At 50.5% G+C, this 17,846-nt stretch overlaps 1 long non-coding RNA gene across 1 annotated transcript, besides 1 other annotated feature; it reads right to left on the bottom strand.

Annotated features, from left to right (window-relative positions):
* Positions 1–9,367: 9,367 nt before the first annotated feature.
* LHX5-AS1 (LHX5 antisense RNA 1) lies at positions 9,368–17,846 on the bottom strand. Its single transcript, NR_126425.1, has 2 exons — positions 17,767–17,846; positions 9,368–9,666 (listed from the first exon to the last, which is right to left on the bottom strand). It is a non-coding gene; the product is annotated as an LHX5 antisense RNA 1 (long non-coding RNA).
* Positions 10,627–11,594: an enhancer, noted in NCBI's record as "H3K27ac-H3K4me1 hESC enhancer chr12:113916060-113917027 (GRCh37/hg19 assembly coordinates)". NCBI's record gives its function as "activates a minimal SCP1, AML or CMV promoter by ChIP-STARR-seq in naive H9 embryonic stem cells {active_cell/tissue: H9 hESC(naive)}" and the evidence as "EXISTENCE:reporter gene assay evidence [ECO:0000049][PMID:30033119]".

The raw sequence follows: 17,846 nt of genomic DNA, 5'->3' as shown, positions 1-17,846 counted from the left end.
GTCCAGAGGGTGGCAACTGCAGTGAGCTGTGATCCAGCCACTGTACTCCAGCCTGGTTGACAGAGTGAGACCCTGTCTCCAGAAAACAAAGAATAAAAAATGAAAGATATTAAGTAATGAGGAGTTAAAGAGTGGAGATGAAGGGACTTTTCTTCAGGATGCTTATGGTCTGTTTGCAAAGAAGAAAGCAAATTCACATCCATTTTCACTAGGTCCAACTGGAGGATCACAGGCCCTGTGGGACCATCTTTAAGATAAACGGCAGACCAGCCCAAGCAACCAAGCACATGGCTCTGCAAAAGACAGAGTGAGATTCTGTCACTTTCCATTCAAGGTTTTTCAGCTACAAACCTTAGCTGTGTTATTGGGAGAAGTATATGGATCAAAAGAGGACTGAGGCTAAGTTTGGAAATCTTTTTCTATTGGCCAGGCGTGGTGGCTCATGCCTGTAATCCCAGCACTTTGGGAAGCCAAGGTGGGCGAATTGCTACGAACCCAAGAGTTCAAGATCAGCCTGAGCTACATGGTAAAATCTTGTCTCTACAAAAAATACAAAAAATTAACTGGGTGTGGTGGTGCACACTTGTGGTCCTAGCTACTTAGGAGGCTGATGTGGGAGGATCACTTGAGCCCTGGAGGTTAAGGCTGCAGTGAAGACAGAAAGAAAGAAAGAAAGAAAGAAAGAAAGAAAGAAAGAAAGAAAGAAAGAAAGAAAGAAAGAAAGAAAGAAAGAAAGAAAGAAAGAAAGAAAGAAAGAAAGAAAGAAAGAGAGAGAGAGAGAGAGAGAAAGAAAGAAAGAGAGAGAGAAAGAGAGAAAGAGAAAGAAAGGAAAGAAAGAAAGAGAAAGAAAGAAAGAAAGAAAGAAAGAAAGAAAGAAAGAAAGAAAGAAAGAAAGGAAAGAAGAAAGAGAAAGAAAGGAAGAAAGAGAAAGAAAGAGAGAAAGAGAGAGAGAAGGAAGGAAGGAAGGAAGGAAGGAAGGAAGGAAGGAAGGAAGGAAGGAAGGAGGGAAGGAAATCTCTTTCTGACCATTTGGGAATTGTTCCTGCAGGCAGGGCTGGGACCTCAGTCCCAGAAACCCTGAAGGTGCATTTCCTCTGTGGGAAAGCCTTGGGGTGGGTCCGGTTTGGAGATTACACAGAGGCCATGAGTCCCTGAGTGTCATCCAAGGAGACTCCCAGCTACTCGCATGGTTGCCACCCTGGGATGCTGAAGAAAGGGCTCCAGAAAACCTGTCTCCACCCCCAGGTGATTTTCTGGTGCTTTCTACCAAGCCTCCAAGAGGTGAGCCCCAGCTTTGCCCAGAGAAGCACTGGAATGGTGATGTCATGCAGTAGAGAGAGTCAATGGACAGGAGTTGCGGCCAGAGGAATAGCTCCCAACCCACCAGGAATGTCTACTGGCCAAGCCCAGTGGGAAGCCAGTGAAAGGAGAGTCCATGGATGCTATCCAAATGGGTCAGCCTCCCAGGCCAGGCAGAGAAATGTCAGGGAGTGGATGTAGGGAAGCAAAAAGAAGACCCCTAGCACGCCACTCCAGCCCTGTCCCTAGCAGAGTGCCTAGCACATAGTTGGAGCTCAATAAATATTTGTTGAGTGAATGAACGACAGCCTGGTCTAGTTACCTCAAAGTTTTCTACTTTTGGATTTGTCACATTGTTCTCTTCTCACAAGAATGCCCTCCACTTCCTGTCTAATCATACCCCATCCTTCATTACATAGCTCAGAACCAACTCTGAGCCAGGAACCCTGCTGGCCCCTTCCCTGTCACTACACCTCAGATCCATCCCTAACCCTGTTGATTCCCTCTCTTTCACACCTCTCACCTACCTGTGGCCCTGTCTTAGTTCAGGCCAAAGCCTGAGAAAAAGAAGCCAGACATGAAAGAATACATACAGAATGATTCCATTTCTATAAAAGTTTAGAAAATGCAAACTAATCCACAGTGACAGGAGACAGATCCGTGGTTGCCCAGAGGTGGAGGCAGGGAGGAGAAGGAAGAAGGGATTATAAAGGGACAGGAGGTGACTTTGGGGAGGTGTCAGGTGTGTACCTTGATAGTTTCTCAGGCATGTACATGTCAACGCTCATCAAATTGTACACTTTAAATATATGCAGTTTATTCTACATCAACTGTTCCTCAGTCAAGCTGGACCCCCCGCAAAGAAACCCTAAATCCCCACAAAAACTTCACAGGTCTCCCCATCTCCCAGAAATGCCGAGGTCACTGGTTGCTGGACCCTTGCATCAACTCATCCCCTGGTTATTTATTTAGCATCGGCTATAAGCCAGACACTGGGCTGGATGTTGGTAGGAGGGGTGGGTAGAGGCCAGCCCCAGCCCTCCGTGAGCTCAGTGCCCTGCTGGGAAATAGACAGCTGAGTTATGGGGGTATGGAAGGTTTCCTACAGGGGATTTGTCTCAGAGGAGACCCAAAAGGCAAGATAGGTGGGTGGAAGTGGGAGGAAGAATAGTTAAGATCAAAGGAACAACAGGCTCAGAAGGGAGTGAACACACTGGAGAATGCAGTCAAATGATAGAAAACTGGGGGAGAAAAGATGCAAGAGATGATATAAAGGAAGGGGACAGGGGCTTGGAAACCAAGTATGGGGTTGGGATTTTATCTTGACAGCAACAAGGGAGCAGGTTATAAGCACACAAGTGACCTAGTCAGTTTTATTCTGTGACAAAATCACTTTGGCTGGGGCAGGAAGAATGGATTGGAAGAGAAAGGGTGAGAACCAAACGTCATGGCAAGAGATGGCTTTGATCTGAACTGAGGCATGACCATGGGTAGGTGAGAGACATGAAGGAGAGGGAATCAACAGGATTTGGGATGGATCCGAGGTGCGATGAGAGAGAAGGAGCCAGCAGGGTTTCTGGCCCAGGCAGCTGAGCTCATGACAGTGGCCACAGAGGCAGCAGGTGTAGGGAGGGGAAAGTGATGATTCAGCATTGATAACACCAAGTTTCAGGGGTATGTGGGCCCTCCTGGAATCAGTTCAGTGAAGTTGGGTAGATAGAGCTGACATTCAGGAGCCAGGTCGTGGGTGGTGTCTCCTTAAGCCATGAGATCTTGGAGACAAGAATCTCTAACATCTTTGCATCCACAGCAAGCTGCACTAAAGGCCTGGCATGTATTTTTCTCCTAATAGATGTTTGTTGGTTGACCCATGACTGAGTTCTCTCTCCAGATCTGTACACATAAGCCCTGCTTCAGGGACATCTATTTATTTATTTATGGGTGAGGTTTCCACGTCTCTTTGCTCCAAGCCCCAGGTAAGGAGAGAGACAGAGAACAACCCTCAATACCCATGGGCCGGCTCCACCAAACCCTCCCTTTGGTTCCTATCTTGGCTCCGCATTCCTGGAAAGGACCTGGTCTCTGAGTGGCTCCTCTTCATGATCAGTTTGCCCTCAGAAGGAAACAGAACTCTATGTCTGCCAAATATCAGTCATTACACTTCAGATGGCGCTAATATAGTTCCCCAGGAAGCTCTGGCCAATGTAATTTGGGCTGGGGACATGCAACTCCTAATTCACAGATTGAAGGGTGGAACAGAGAGGTTTAGGAACTTTCCCAAAGCCTCACAGTAAGCCCCAAGGCAGAACCAGGCCTCCGAGTGCTGACTGTGGCTTGTCCCCGACACTAGCTGATGTTCTTTCTACCTACTCTCTCCAAATTTGCCTCAATCTTGGCTTTGCTAATGACTGGCTGCGAAATCCTGGAAGAGTTGCTCAACCTCTCTGCACCTCAGTTTCCTCATCTGTGAAATGGATGGAATAACAGTGCCTACGCTGATGACACATGGGAAGCGCTTTGCACAGTGCCCGGCACATGCAATCTCCAGACAAGTTGTCACTGCTGCTTACCTTCCCAAGAGCGCCCAAGAAGTGATGCTAATGGTGGAGTTGCCTTGCACTGAAACAGATCAGAAGGGGGACATCTTTTAGACCAGAAGGACTTGTAATGCCTCTCAAACTTTACAATCATCTTGTCCCCGACCGCCTGGCCACCTCTGCGCACACCGTGCCTGCAGACTCCACAGGGCACTTGGCCAGGCTGAGAGCTATGTGCAAAATAGCTGGATCAGCTCTCACCAGAGAGGGACCCAATGGCAACTTTTGAGGTTCTGAGGTCTGGTTTCCTCAGGACCTCAAAAATGCCAAAGCCTCCTAGAAAGAGGGAGAAAGGCAAAGAGGTTCTGAGAGGTTTTCACATTTGCCCACCAGGAGAGAGAGGTCTTGGAAAAGCCCATGCAGCAGCTGGCCCTGGAACTCTGACCAGCCAGGGATCCCCACTGGCTCAGGGGAGAGAGGGCGGGGCCTGGCTGGGAGTGACACACCCCCTTCCCAGTGGGACGTTCAGTGGGGCTGGGCAGGGGAACCTGGGCTTGTTACCAGCCACAGGATGTGAGGCAGGTTGTCTTCACCTCTGCACTATTGACATTTTGAGCTGAATAATTCTGGGGCTGCAGGAGAAGCAGGGCACCCTTCTGTATATTGTAGGGTGTTGAGCAGCATCCCTGGCCTCTATCTACAGTAGCATCACCACTCAATTGTGTCAACCAAACATGTCTCTAGGCATTGCCAAATGTTCCTTGGGAAACAAAATTCCCTTTCCTACTCTCCCAGGGAGAACCACTGATGTGAAGGCAGCTTCCCAAAAGAGGAGGGGACAGGAAGAGGGAAAGAGACACACAGGTTAACAGTGGTGGGTAGAAGGTGAAAGAGAAGAGGGAGGGAAGGCAGAAGTACCTGCTGGCTTTAGGGGGAGAAAAGGACTTTTTTTAACCCTGAGTAGATCACATTAGTGTCTCTGGAGATCTGATCCAGGAAGTTCTCATATCCTCCTCCTTCACACGGAGGCACGCCCCTTCCTATTTTTCTTAATAAGAGCACAATTTCATTCTGTAAATATGTATTGATTGCTTTTTGTAGACAAGGCACTTTCATGCATCCATTCCAAACAACTATTCAGCAAGTCTGTAATGTTATTGTTATTACTTAATATTTCATCACTAATAATTTATTGAAGCCATCATAAGTTGGGCATTTGCCTTGTGCCACGCACCGTGCTAAGCCCCTTACATTCGTCTTCTCATTTAATCCTCCCAACAACTCCATGAGGTTATTAGTTTCTTTTATCATTATTATTTTTCCTGGTTTACAAATGAGGAAAATGAGCCTCAGAGTGAATAACTGAACCAAAGGCATCCAGCTTCATACACTTTTTGGTGAATAAATGAATAAATAGCCCTTCTTTCTCTGATATCCAGAGTAACGTGTAGATGTACAGAAATTTGTGTTGATGTATAGGTCTCCTCTGCTAGGCTATGAGCAGCTTGTAGGGGCGGTGGGAGGTGCTCATTCACAGTGGCTTCTGCAGCCTCTGGTACATTCCCAGGCACACACAGTAGGTGTCCAATACATGTTTACCAAATGAACAAATGAAGGAGAGTGCTTTGCGTGTTTCTAATTTACCTTTATAAACACCATCCCCCGGTCCCAGCACAGGCTCTTTCTCATAGTAGGGCTCAGTATTATTGAGTTTTGTTCAGTATTATTGAGTTTTGTTCAAGGGGTAAAGGGTAGGAGACGTGGAATGGACACACATCTTTGCAGAATGCTTCTGTTATGTACAGGAAAGCTCCCCTGCAGGGTGACAGTGGCTCAAATAAAACCTATGGGAATGAGCTCTGTGTGAAGGCAGGCCAGCCCCAGCCCTCAGACTGGATATTGAAAGGTCCTTTCATAACTCCAAGCACATAGCTCTCTACACCTCTCTCCAAGAAGACAACCCTCACCTTCTTTCTCTAACTATTTCAAGGTCCAACCAAATGAATTCACTTGCTTTCACCTGAAAAAAAAAAAAACACCCTTCTTTTTGTAAAGAATAAAGAAAGTCGCCCCCAAACAAGGACCAGTAACACCAGCTACTGCTCAGGGTGCTTCCCAGTTTCCCAAACATCATTTCCCTAAATGATCCCGATAACTCTCTAAGGCAGGCACCATTACTGCCCCATTTAACGGATTAGGAGACTGAGATTCAGGGAGGCTGGGCATTCCCACCTGCCATTCATGAGCGGGTTAGCATGGGAGCTACTAGGACTCTGAGCCAGCTCCTCTAACTTCAGAGCCCTCTTCTACCTCCACAGGTAATAGAAGAGCTCTTGAAGGAGATGAGCTCTTAAACAGTAAGTCCCATCTTTTCCCCTTTGCATCACAGCCTCTTTGCTCCATTGCCTTCCCCCATCTCTTACTACTCTGCTTCCTTTTTTCTCCTATGCAAGGCTCTAACACAAATAAAACAGACCAAAACAATCCCTCATGGCTACTCTCTGAGACAGACATACACCTTTTTTATGTGACAGCTGCCATAGAAACAAGTACACACTTTTATCCCCATCCCTCAAATGTGGAAACTGAGGCACAAAGAAGCTAAGTGACTTGCCGTCTATTGCACAGCTGGTAAGTGATGAAGCCAGATTCCAACACAGGAGCACTGGGTCCCAGAGTCTGGATGTTAACACTATACTCCATCAGCTCCCCCACAGATGGGACTGGTAACCTTTCCAAAAATTGTGTAATTTAGATGTCTTCTTGATTCATTGTGTTTTCCACTATCACTCTTTTTTGTTTTTTTGTAACCAAGCGGAGATTTCAGATCCAGCAAGAACAATAAAAATCACTCTCTGAGGCCACAGACCTGTTTCTCCACCCCAATGTGATTCTGTGTCTAGTCTGAAGAATCCACCCAATGACTGCATTCTCTTGGGGTCCTTGGATAAGCTTTTCTTTCGTCCTCTTTCCAAACTGGAAACCTACCCAGCCAGCTGCTCCATTTGCAGACCTCAGAAGATGGGCAAATAAAGCTCAGTCTTGTCTCAGCTCTGCCCATCCATCTCCATTCACTTCTGTAACTCTGTCTATGTATTCATTCATTATTCATTCAGTCAACAAATATGTATTGAACAACTATGTTCCAGGTACTGAGCTAGGCATTGGGGATTCAACAGTGAGCAAGACAAACACAGTCTGTCTGCCCTCTTGGAACTGATATTTTATTAAGAAATACACAATATGCTCCTAAACATATAAATAGAATAATTCTAGATATTGATAAAAGCTACAAAGAAAATAGACAGGGAGGAGGGCTAGAGAGTGACTGGGGATGGGGTGCTTTTAGACAAGGTGGTCAGGAGAGGTTTCTTTGAAAAGCTGACATTTGAGCTGAGATCTAAATGACAAAAGGGAACCAACAGTGTAAGAATCTGAGGGCAGAGGGGAAGCCTAGTGCAAAGGTCTTGAGGTGAGAAAAACTAGGTCTGTGTGAGCCACAGCAGGGGTGGGGGCGAGGCTAGCAAAAACCAATCACAAAGAGCCCTGCAGACCAGGGTGAGGAGTATGGATTTTATTCTAAGTGCAATGGGGAGTTGTTGGAGGGTTAAAAGCAGAATGACAAGACCTGATTTATGATTTTAAAATATAAGTTTAGTTATAGTGTGGAGACTAGATTGTAGATGAGGGCAAGGATAGAAGAATCAGGGAGCCCGGTCAGGAGGCTACTGCTATAAAACAGATGAGATGGTGGTGGCTTCGACCGGGGTGATAATGGAGGAAAAGATGAGAATTAGATGGGTTGGAATGTATTTTGGAGGCAGAGCTAACTGAACTTGCTGATGGATTGTGTGTGAGGCAGGAGAGAAAGGGGAAATCAAGGATGACTCCTAAGTGTGGGTCCAAGAGATTTTCATATTAAGCTGGTCCCATTCTGCGAAATGCCCACCCAACCCACATGAAATGAGAGCCTCTGTCCTCACCATTTTCACTCCTTCCTTTCAAATTTAGGACTTAAGGCAAATTGAAGTCTAGACCACAGGCCATGATGGCCAGGGAATTCAATGGGACTGTGCTAAATACATATATATATATATATATATATATATATATATATATATATATATACCATTGTAACCACAATGTAACCATCTATGTGGCTCTAATATCATGGGTTATTAGAGTAAGCACAGTCTCCAAAGCCAATGAGATCTGGGTTAGAATCACAGGCCTTCACAGCATACCTATAAGCAACTTAATAAATATTTCTGGGCCTCAGTTTCCTCACCCATAAAATAGGGCCATGATATATATCTACTAATGTTTAGATTTGCAATGAAGATTAAGGAACCAGATGTACAGAGTGATCACTAAATAAATGGATTTTTAACAAAATTTATCCTTCACCCACCCAAGGTCAGGACGTCTCTCCTAGTACCATGTGGCTCTGCATTCTGAGAGGGATAGAGGTGCATGGTCCAAAGGAGTGACCACATTGGTCCTAATCAAAGATCTAAGGGTGCTTAAGTGAAAAGATAACAGTCAGGGTCTAGAGAAACTGGAGTGTCACTCCCCTAACCCAAAGATACAACCCTTTATTGCAAATCCTTTGGGTTTGAGAATTCTGGTTCCTCTGCCTTTGTGGGCAAATTAGCTCTTCAATGTTCAGGTAGGGAGCCGGAGTTATTGTATTCCATTGAACTCACAAGGACCCCTCCCCCTTCATATGTACTGGCAATACTAACAACTGGGCATAGCTGACACTCCTGCAGTGGGGAGGCCTGGAGGGTGCTGAGAAGACCAAATGAAGATGTGGCCCTAAGGCATCTAGGCTCTCTGGGAGGCAGTGTATCTATGAGATGCCAGAGGAAACATACACAGCTCTCTGTGCACTAAAATGGGTGCTCCCCCACGAGGGAGGGAAAATGTGATTTTTTTTCCTACCCTGCACAAACTTATTTAGGAAAGTACTGCATACTAATTTGAACAGAGGAACACACTTGGTTATGCACCATGCCAGATGCCTAGGTAACACCATGAACATTTAGAAAATTAAGCACCAGATTAACTTTTGTATCCAAACTTTCCAAAGGAATCACTTTCCTCTTACTACTGATCCTGAAGATTGACATCCTTACAGATCCCATCTCTGTCTCAAAGGGTTAAGGCAACTTCATGTCCATCACTTTGGCCTTCACAAGCCATCTTTCTTCACGTAGGCAGGTGCCTTAGTCTGTTCACCACCAGTCCCCCCGCCCCCCGCTTCCAGCTCTTATGTTTTTCTACCCAAGAAGTTAAGATGCCAGGGATATGATATTCCCAAAACTAAAATTTCTAAACCCATTGCCTCTTTATCAGAATAAATCAGAGGGCAGATTCGTGACATTTGTTATAGGTTAGCTCTATTGTTTTTAACATGAATTTCCATTTATTTAGGAGTAGAAATATCCATTTCTCTCCGTTTTAGGGTACAGTTAAAATAAACCTTTCTAACATCATTTATTTGGGAAGAAAGGAGAAGACACCGTTTTCAATCAATCGTTTTGTTCTTTGATATATGTATATACACCTGTGTACAGGGCGCAGGTTCTAAGGTGAGTCCCCCAAAAGGGAAATAAATTCAGGGGAAGGCAAGAGTCACAGAGCGAAGGGGAGCTAGAAGGATGGGGAGTAAATGAGCAGAGGGCTGGTTACAGAAGCCCCCTTGCTCCGGCGACGGCGCCGCCGATTCAGCACCGCGGACAGCTCCTGTCTTTGTCTTGGTCCAAACTCCGGCGCCGGTGCACAGCCGGGCAGCCACCGTGGCTCACCCCTGCCTTCTCCGGCAAACCTGCTTAGAGGAGAAAGAAAGAGAGCAGAGCAGAACGATGGAGATTTTTCTATTCTCTCCCCGCATCCTCCGAACTCGGCTATGATCCCATCCCACCGCATCTCAGCTGCCGATTTTAACCCGGCTTCACGGGGAACCTCGCTTCTGCCTACACGGTGTTTGGGGTGGGTGTTGGAGGGCAGGAGAGCGCCATGGCGAGTTCAGAATGGGTTTGGAATTCGTTTCACTGTCACTGCCCGAGGCCCCAGCCGGCCGCGATCTGTCCCCAAACAACGCCTCGCCTTCGACTAAAAAAACAAAGCAAAACAAAACAAAAAAGCGGCGATGTCGAACGTTTCGCGGGTGCGTATCCGGGGCTGTGGACACGCAAGGACCCCCAGACCAGCTAAGCCTCGCCCCAAGACCCGCAACTTCAAATCCAGGGAGCTAGAAAGATTAGAAAGCGTTTCTTCCGACGCAACCGCGTCCCGGGAAAAATAAAAAATAAAAAAGCTTGCGGAATTATGTTGCAATCAGAACCTATACTCCCCAACCCTGCGCACCGTTTCCGCGGCGTTTTTTCTCCGTTTCGCCAGAAAAAGCGTCTGGCTCCGAGTTCAACAAGCTGCACCCACAGAGGCTGCTCAAAATGTGTATTATTTTTTTTTCTGGTTCCTTTCGTAGGAGCCAGTATAAAAGGGATTCTTCTCACGTTCTACCTTGCCCGAAATCTGGCTTCTTCCAGAGGGTGAAAAATGCCGTGCACGAAGCTCACTCGCCAAATCCCACACACATATGTAAACAAACACCACACACGCACGCACACACACACAAACACACACACACCCTCTAGCCCAGACTCAATAAAGTTACTCGCTTCCACCAAGCTTTAGGGAAGTAGGCCAGCCTAGCTATGATTTTATTCTCACGGAATTTGTTCCCGAAGTGGGGCCCTAGGGTAGGGGTAGACCTGGGAAAGAAAGTTTAAGAATGAACCCTCTCCAACCCCCGCCCACGCACGGAAGGCTCTTCCTGTGGCTGTCTGTGAATACCATAGGAGGAAAGAAAGAGGCCTTTTCGCAGGTTCCCTAAAGCCTGGGGCCCCCACATGGGCATCGGGGTACAGGGAGCTCACCCCCAACCAACCACCCAGAAGACCCCGGCTTCTGCGGACCGATTTGTATTTGCCTCTAAAATAAGATACTTCACCCCTACCCTCAAAAACATCCCTTGGAATTTTTTCGAAGGGGAAGCACTCTGTCCTCCCCTTCCCCCTCCCCAAAAAACCTGGCGGAAAAGGCCGCCGCGCACTGCGGGGCAGTTGAGAGGAGTTTTAGAGAGCGCGATCCCGCAGTGGTCCCCGCGGAGCGGAAGGGTGCCCAGCAGGGTAAACATACTCGCCTTGGGAGGAAGGAGCTGGGGTCGCTTTCCCCGGACCCCTCCTCCCTCCCGGGGTCCGCGGCGGTGGGCGCCTGGGGGAAGAGTGGGGGCCTGGGGGGTGGGCACCGTCCCCGCCCCCCAGCCCCTTGGCTCGCGGTGTTCAGCCGGGCTGCTGCGTAAACCGCCGCTTTCCCGATGCAGATTTCCCTTTTAACACCTTCTAAACAAAGGCTAATGAGGCCACTGCATCACTCTATCAACACACAATCATTAGCAAGCGAGAAATACACGCGCAGGCACACACACACACACGCGCACACACACACGCAGGCACACACACACACACGCAGCGCTGGGGCTGCCAAAGTCGGGCCAATTCTAAAGTAACCCGTATTAGGCTAACAAAAAGGAGGTGGGATATGGAGGGGCGGGAGAGAGGCTGGGAGAGAATGGAGAGAGAGAAGGGGAGAGCGTGTTCTCTTGATACCGAAAAAAAGGCCAAGAGAAAAGAAAGAGGAAGCAGACCCAGACTGAAAGATGGCTCTGCTGGTTGGAGCGAGATCATTAGAAAGTCCGGGGTTCTATTTTGGAGGATGGGGTCCCTGCAAAGCTCTTCTTCTTGGGGCACAGGAGCTGGAGTGGGGCTGCAGCTGTCTTCTTAGAAATAGCTCCCAAGGCCTGGTTCATGGCCTCTACCATCAGATAGTCTCAGTGGGGCCAGAGGGGCAAGACTACAGCCTCTCACGACCAAGTACTGCCTGCCCTGAGACCCCAAAAGTCCAGGGCCAGCCTCCAGGCCCAACCATCTATGCGAGGATGAAGAGAAGCCTGACTGTGCTCAGTGCCCAGCTGGGACCCACTGCTCCTCCAGTGCAACTGGCAGCCTGGAATCCAAGCTTCACCCATGGGGAAGTGGGCCGCTCTGTGTTAAGTACAGGGCTTTCCTCTCAGAACAAAAAAAAAGTCAGTGTTTCCCTTACAGGTTGGAGGACTGGCTTGCTGCTTTCCTTCTGTCTCTCCCAGGCCCCCTTCTGGCCCCCAGGGATCAGCCCCAGACTTCACCCTCCCAGCAACTAAGTGTGTTTTGCCCGGGGAAGGAGCACCCAGCAGGAGAAAGTAGCCTGTTTTTGCTTGCCAGATAGCCCAAGGTGTGGGACCTCTAGGGGAGGGGTGCATTCCAGGAGAGGGGCTTGCAGTAAGGAAGGAGGGAAACCCACGCCCTGCTGCAGCTCCAGAGGGACCTCTGAGCTGACTGGCACTCACCAGCGCACACACTCACTCCAGAGAGACCTCTGAGCTGGCCGGCACTCACCAGCGCACACACTCACTTGGAGGCTGGATCTCAGCCACTGCCCTCTCCACCTGCTCCAACCACCAAGATCCAGGGCCTGTCCCCTGAGGGGTAGTAGGCCCAGTGGACTTCCACTAGCTAGGGCCCCTGATGCTACAGCCCCAGAAGTCTGACTCAGAGTTGGCCCACCCCTGCCGGGTCCCACAGGAAGCCCCCTTAAAGTTCCAGCCCGGATATTGGACTGGGGTTTAGTTTAGACTCAGAGCCCTGCTTTCCTGTGCTGGGGGGTGAATGCAGAGGAAGATTGGGCAGGGAGAAAACTTGGTGGGAGATGCCATTGTTTAATTCCCACTTCCTGCAGCTCTCCAAAGGAAGGAAGGAAGGAAGAAGGGAGGGAGGGAGGGAAGGAAGAAAGGGAGGGAGGGAGGGAGGGAGGGAAGGAAGGAAGGAAGAAAGGAAGGAAGGAAGGAAGAAGGGAGGGAGGGAGGGAAGGAAGAAAGGGAGGGAGGGAGGAAGGGAGGGAGGGAAGGAAGGAAGGATGTAAGGAAGGAAGGAAGGGAGGGAGGGAGGGAGGGAGGGAAGGAAGGAAGAAACGAAAAGGAAAAGAAAGGGAAGGGGGAGGGAGGGAGGGAAGGAGGAGAGAAGAGAGGGAGGAGGAATTCCCTGCCTTTTTGATTAAACGTCCCGGGTCGGGCCTGCCCAGTTAACGAGACCGTTAATTAAGCCGAGCACGATTCAACTGACAGGAAGGCCCTGCGCCCCGCAGAGATGTTCTGGAAACCAAGCAATCCACGGCCTAGCGCCAGTGGGGCACACCAGCCACGACGCCCCCGCCTCCCAGGGTTCCACCCAGGCCAGGACACTCTCCCCGCCTGGGCTCCGGGCCGCTCTCAGACGGCCACCCCCAAGGGTTCCCCAGAAAATTCACCACCACCCCCCACCCACCCCACTCCCACCCCCGCCATCCCTCTCGCATCCCTGCCCGGATGTCTAGGCCTGAGCACCCATTGCACCCCGCCGGCGTCCTCTCTGGCCCGCCTGGGAGCGCGCGGTCCCGAGGTTCTCGGGCAAACCCGAACTGCGGAGGGCAGAGGCTGGGCTCGCTGGGTCTCGCCGGAGCGCCACACCAGCCGCTCTCCTCCGGCCTCCAGACAGCGGGGCTCAGCCTTCACGCCCGCTCCTACTCGGGGGCCCGATTCCTTCCGGCGGCGGGCGGTGCTCTGCGGCGCTGCGGGACGCTGAGTGTGTGTGCGAGGCGCGGCCTATATTTACACCCCAAACAAAATAATTACACTTTTGTCGGAGGGAGAAAGCCAGTGATTAGGCGTAGGCTCTTTGCGGCAAAACAGTTTCTCAGTGGTACACCAGTATAATTTTTCACGGCTGGCTGAAATCAAAGAGGGGAGGTAATGAATCCGGCGAGCAATTTAAATTTACAATTTGTAACGCCGCCGCCGCCGCGCAGACCCGGCCGAGAGCGCAGCTCGGAGGCGCTCGCTGCGTTTGTTTAATGTTAAAGCCGCGCTGGCTCTTGGGGGTGGGGTGGGGGAAGTATGCGTGTTGGGGTGGGAGCGGTAATGATCGAAGTCGGGAGAGGACGGGCTGGGTCGCACAAGATGCCACCAAGAGAAGTGGGCAAAGCGCGCGCCTCTCCGGTCCCCCCAGCCACCTGGGCCCCCAGAGCGCGCGTTTCCCAATAAAGCTGCCACTCCCGGCCGTTCGAAGGAGAGGATGCTTTAAGAGGAGCCAGGAGAGACACTGGCTGCCAGAGAAGACCCCCTTTCCTGCTTGGCTGCAGAATCTCCCAGGCCGGAGGCTTTCCGGTGAGGAATAGGGAGGTGCAACTGAAACGACCTCTTCAACCCGCGGGTGGGTCAGCTCCAAACCTCTGGAAGCGCCCTCATTCCGGCCGCTGCCCGGTGTCCCGGGCTGGAGAACTCAAGAGAGGTATGCCCCACGCCCCAGCTCAGCGCTCCCCAAAACTCCCACCCCAGGCTAGTGTGCGCCTCCTCGCCAGTAATTAATTACCGAACTCAAGGGGGAATATGCAAACCGCATATTACTAACTCTACAGGGCTTAAGTGATTGGAAACAGATTATTATCTTGTTTGTCTTTTGTCTGTTTTACTTATCCCGCCGCCGTCTGTCGAGTTGTAATGTTGATACTCTTTACTCTAGGAGGAAGATTTTTATATAGTAAATTCCATCAACATCTTGTATAAGTGACATTGCGTCTCCATGCATTACCCTGTTAAGACACAAGCGGTTTATTAGTTACATATAGGAGGGGATTTCGCTGCCTGGTCGCCATCTGTTAGCGCTGTTAGGTCGGGATGAGTCTAATAGCTGGTCTGCTGGCATTTTCCGATGCTGTGCACCGGGGAAGGTGGTGGGCTAGAGAAGGCCGGGCGGGTTCTGGGCAGCTTGGCTGAGCCCAGGTCCAGGGAGTTCTCGAACTGGGGCTGAGCTGTACTGAGGATGAGGCCCCCAACGCAACTCTAGGGGACTGCAACAAGGGCAGGATTGGTGAGTTCCCCTACAAGAGATGGAAGATCAGACCAGGGCTTCTGGAAACAGAGTCCTCATCTCCTGCAACCAAACATCCAGCCCCAGGTGACTGACGCTCATCCCTACTCAGGGCTGCTCTCATCTTCTTCCCTCTTCCTACGACCTCCCTGGCCTGGCCACACGGTTGTTAGAGCCTGGCTATGCATTGAAGCTCTCTGGGAGATGAGGACTAGTGGATCTGAGATTCAGATAGAGCTGGGTACACAGGCCCCCAGCCACCACCAATGGGTGGGCAAAGCCTGGGCTGGAAACACACACCAGACAGGGCACTTTGCATATTTTGTGGGGTTTGGGGGAGAATGGGCTCAGTGTGCCTAGTCTGGAGCAGAGAAGAAAGTGGTTGGATGGAGGTTCTGAATGATCATGAAGCACGTGGTGGGGGTGCAAGTCTTCCCCCCACACCCCAAAATCTGCACGATGCAAAATAAGGAGCATTCATCTCAGCTTTGAGTCGGATGCTGGATTTGGAAGCTCCAGCAGAGAGGCCAGGGGAGGAGAACAAAAAAAAAGAGAGAGAGAGAAATGGAGAAAGAAAACAAGGGAGAACCAAGAGAAAATGAAACAGAAAGAGAACAGATTCTGAGCATAAGAGAAAAACGGAGACAGAAAGGAAAAGAGATATGGTGAGAACTCGGGAGAGACAGAAAAAGCCTAGTGAGACAAAGACGGAGAAGGCAGTACAGTTCACCTCTGCCGGGAGCCTGAGCACCTCTCTCCTCTTCGGGTTCTTATTTCTTTCCAGCTCTGCCCCTGCCAGAGCTCAAGGATCCTTTAAGCCCAGGCGGGCAGGGCCAAGTGCTGCCAGAAACTGCAGTTCCATTTGAAGTCTCTCATGGCCGAGCCTAGGAGGCCAAGTGAGATTCATCCTGCCTGTTCCTGGTTGAGCTGGGCTCTAACCAGCGTTACTACTATGCTCTGTAGATGCCTGTCCCCTGACAAGCTAGAGGGTCAGGTAACAGCACCAATAAGCAGAAGCTGCCCGGGTTAGGGATTCCTTTTCCAGCGGGCTGGCTGGTGAGTCAATGCTCCACTCTGTAACCAGCACTCACCAATTCCCTGTCCCTAGCAAGATCACCTCCCCTAGATACTGTGGGGGACAGTGCTAGGCCTGAGAGGAAGGGGGACAAGTGGGCATCCCTGAGCCCCAACACAGGCATCCACAAATCCTGCTCCCTCAACCTCCGAATCCACAAAGGTAAGCGCAGCTAGGAGTACACACACAAACACAAATACAAACATAACCCCCTCACACACACATACACACACACACACAAAAGCCTACAGGAGTTGCATAAACAAAAAACTACTGTTTGCACAAATACACACATTTGCAGGCACACACACACAGCGACTGGCACACAAACATAGCTCTTCAGAATTCTGCACTCACAAACACAACCAAGCCAGCTCAGTCTCATACACACAGGGTCTCAAGCATGCACGCCCTCACCTACACACAAACACACACATTCAGATTTTTCAAAGTACACCTTCACATCAATGCTTGCAAACACAGACACAAACACTCTTACGTGAATGCACACGTACACATGAAAACACCCTCACATTTATGCATCCTCAAATAAGCAAACACACATAGGCACAGACCAACAAAAATAAAAGTGCACACAGTGATAAACACAAACATTAGCAGGACCATACACAATTACAAACACACGAATCTGCACACACGAAAACGCACACGCAGAAATTTACTCACAGGATTGATGGTACTAACACAATAAACAGATGCAAAAATGGAATTCTCAAACAGCGAGTATACACTAACAAGCTCAGGAAACACACCCAAACAAACATTCACAGCCAAGTGCTGGCACAAACCCCTCCAGCTCCAGCCCTTGGTCCCAGGCCCTACTCCCTCAGCCCCCTTTCCAGAAGCGAAAGGCAAATCCTGGTTGCCCATTCCCGGCTTCCCCAACTAGGATCCCTGGTGGCCACGCTGGCCCCAGGGGAAAGGAGGCCTGGTCCCTTCTCCTACTCAGACCCACACACCCCCTCCTCACGCACACCTGCCAACATCCCCCCTCCCCCTTAACACACACACACTCTCTCTCCTCACACTCTGGGCGCCCTGCCGAGCACGGAACATACGTGCGCCGCTTCTCCTGCGCCCAATGAGGGGACGAACTTGCACACCCAGCCCGCACGGCGTGAATACAAACAGCGCTCTCATAGTCGCTGGTGTCCCCCGCCTCAGCCGTACGACCCACTCACCACAGTGCCCCATAGGCTGACCTGGAATCTGGAAGGTGCAGCGAGGAAAGGAGAGACGTGGTGAGTGCCACCTCCGAGCTGTCTGCGGGAAGACCCGTCCACCCTGAATCTCCCCCTGTCCACATCTCCCTCAGAGCCCCGTGAGCAGCGCACTCAGGCCTGAAACTCTGGAGTTCGGGACCAGGCCAAATGGCACCCCTCCTGCTCCCCCGCCTCCCCACCCTGGGCCTGGGCCTGGGCTCGGCGGCCGGGCGGGGAAAACTACCCAGGCCGCGCGGTCTCCACTAGCTCTCTCCATGAGAAAGGCCCGGCTGGGCCCCAGCCCCGTGTATGACAAAAAGAAGCCGGGGCCGGCTCCAGGAGCCGGGAGAACCGCGCTGACGCAGCTTCAGGGCGCAGAGGGGGCGCGGGGGTGGGGGAATCCAATCTGGGCTGGCTGGGCTGGAGAAGGGGAGCGAAGTGTGGGGCGTGGGGCAACTTCTGCAAGTTCCAGGGATGGCGAAGGGGGCAGGGGTACCTCCCGGACTAGGCCTTGGAACCCGTGACCCCCAAATATTTGTGAGGAGAAAGAGAGAGGAAGAGAGACGCAATTTTCGTTTCGCGCTGCCCCCGCCCCGTCAGCCCCAAACTGGAAGGTAAATACTTACTTAGCCTCCGAACCAGGTACAAGCTAATACTCAACAATACTGATGCCTTGTTTTTTTTGCTCTGTCCGGACAGCAACGCT

The sequence above is a fragment of the Homo sapiens genome, chromosome 12 (assembly GCF_000001405.40).
Source record: "Homo sapiens chromosome 12, GRCh38.p14 Primary Assembly".
NCBI classification, from domain to species: domain Eukaryota; kingdom Metazoa; phylum Chordata; class Mammalia; order Primates; family Hominidae; genus Homo; species Homo sapiens.
This window is presented reverse-complemented; position numbering and strand designations above follow the sequence as displayed.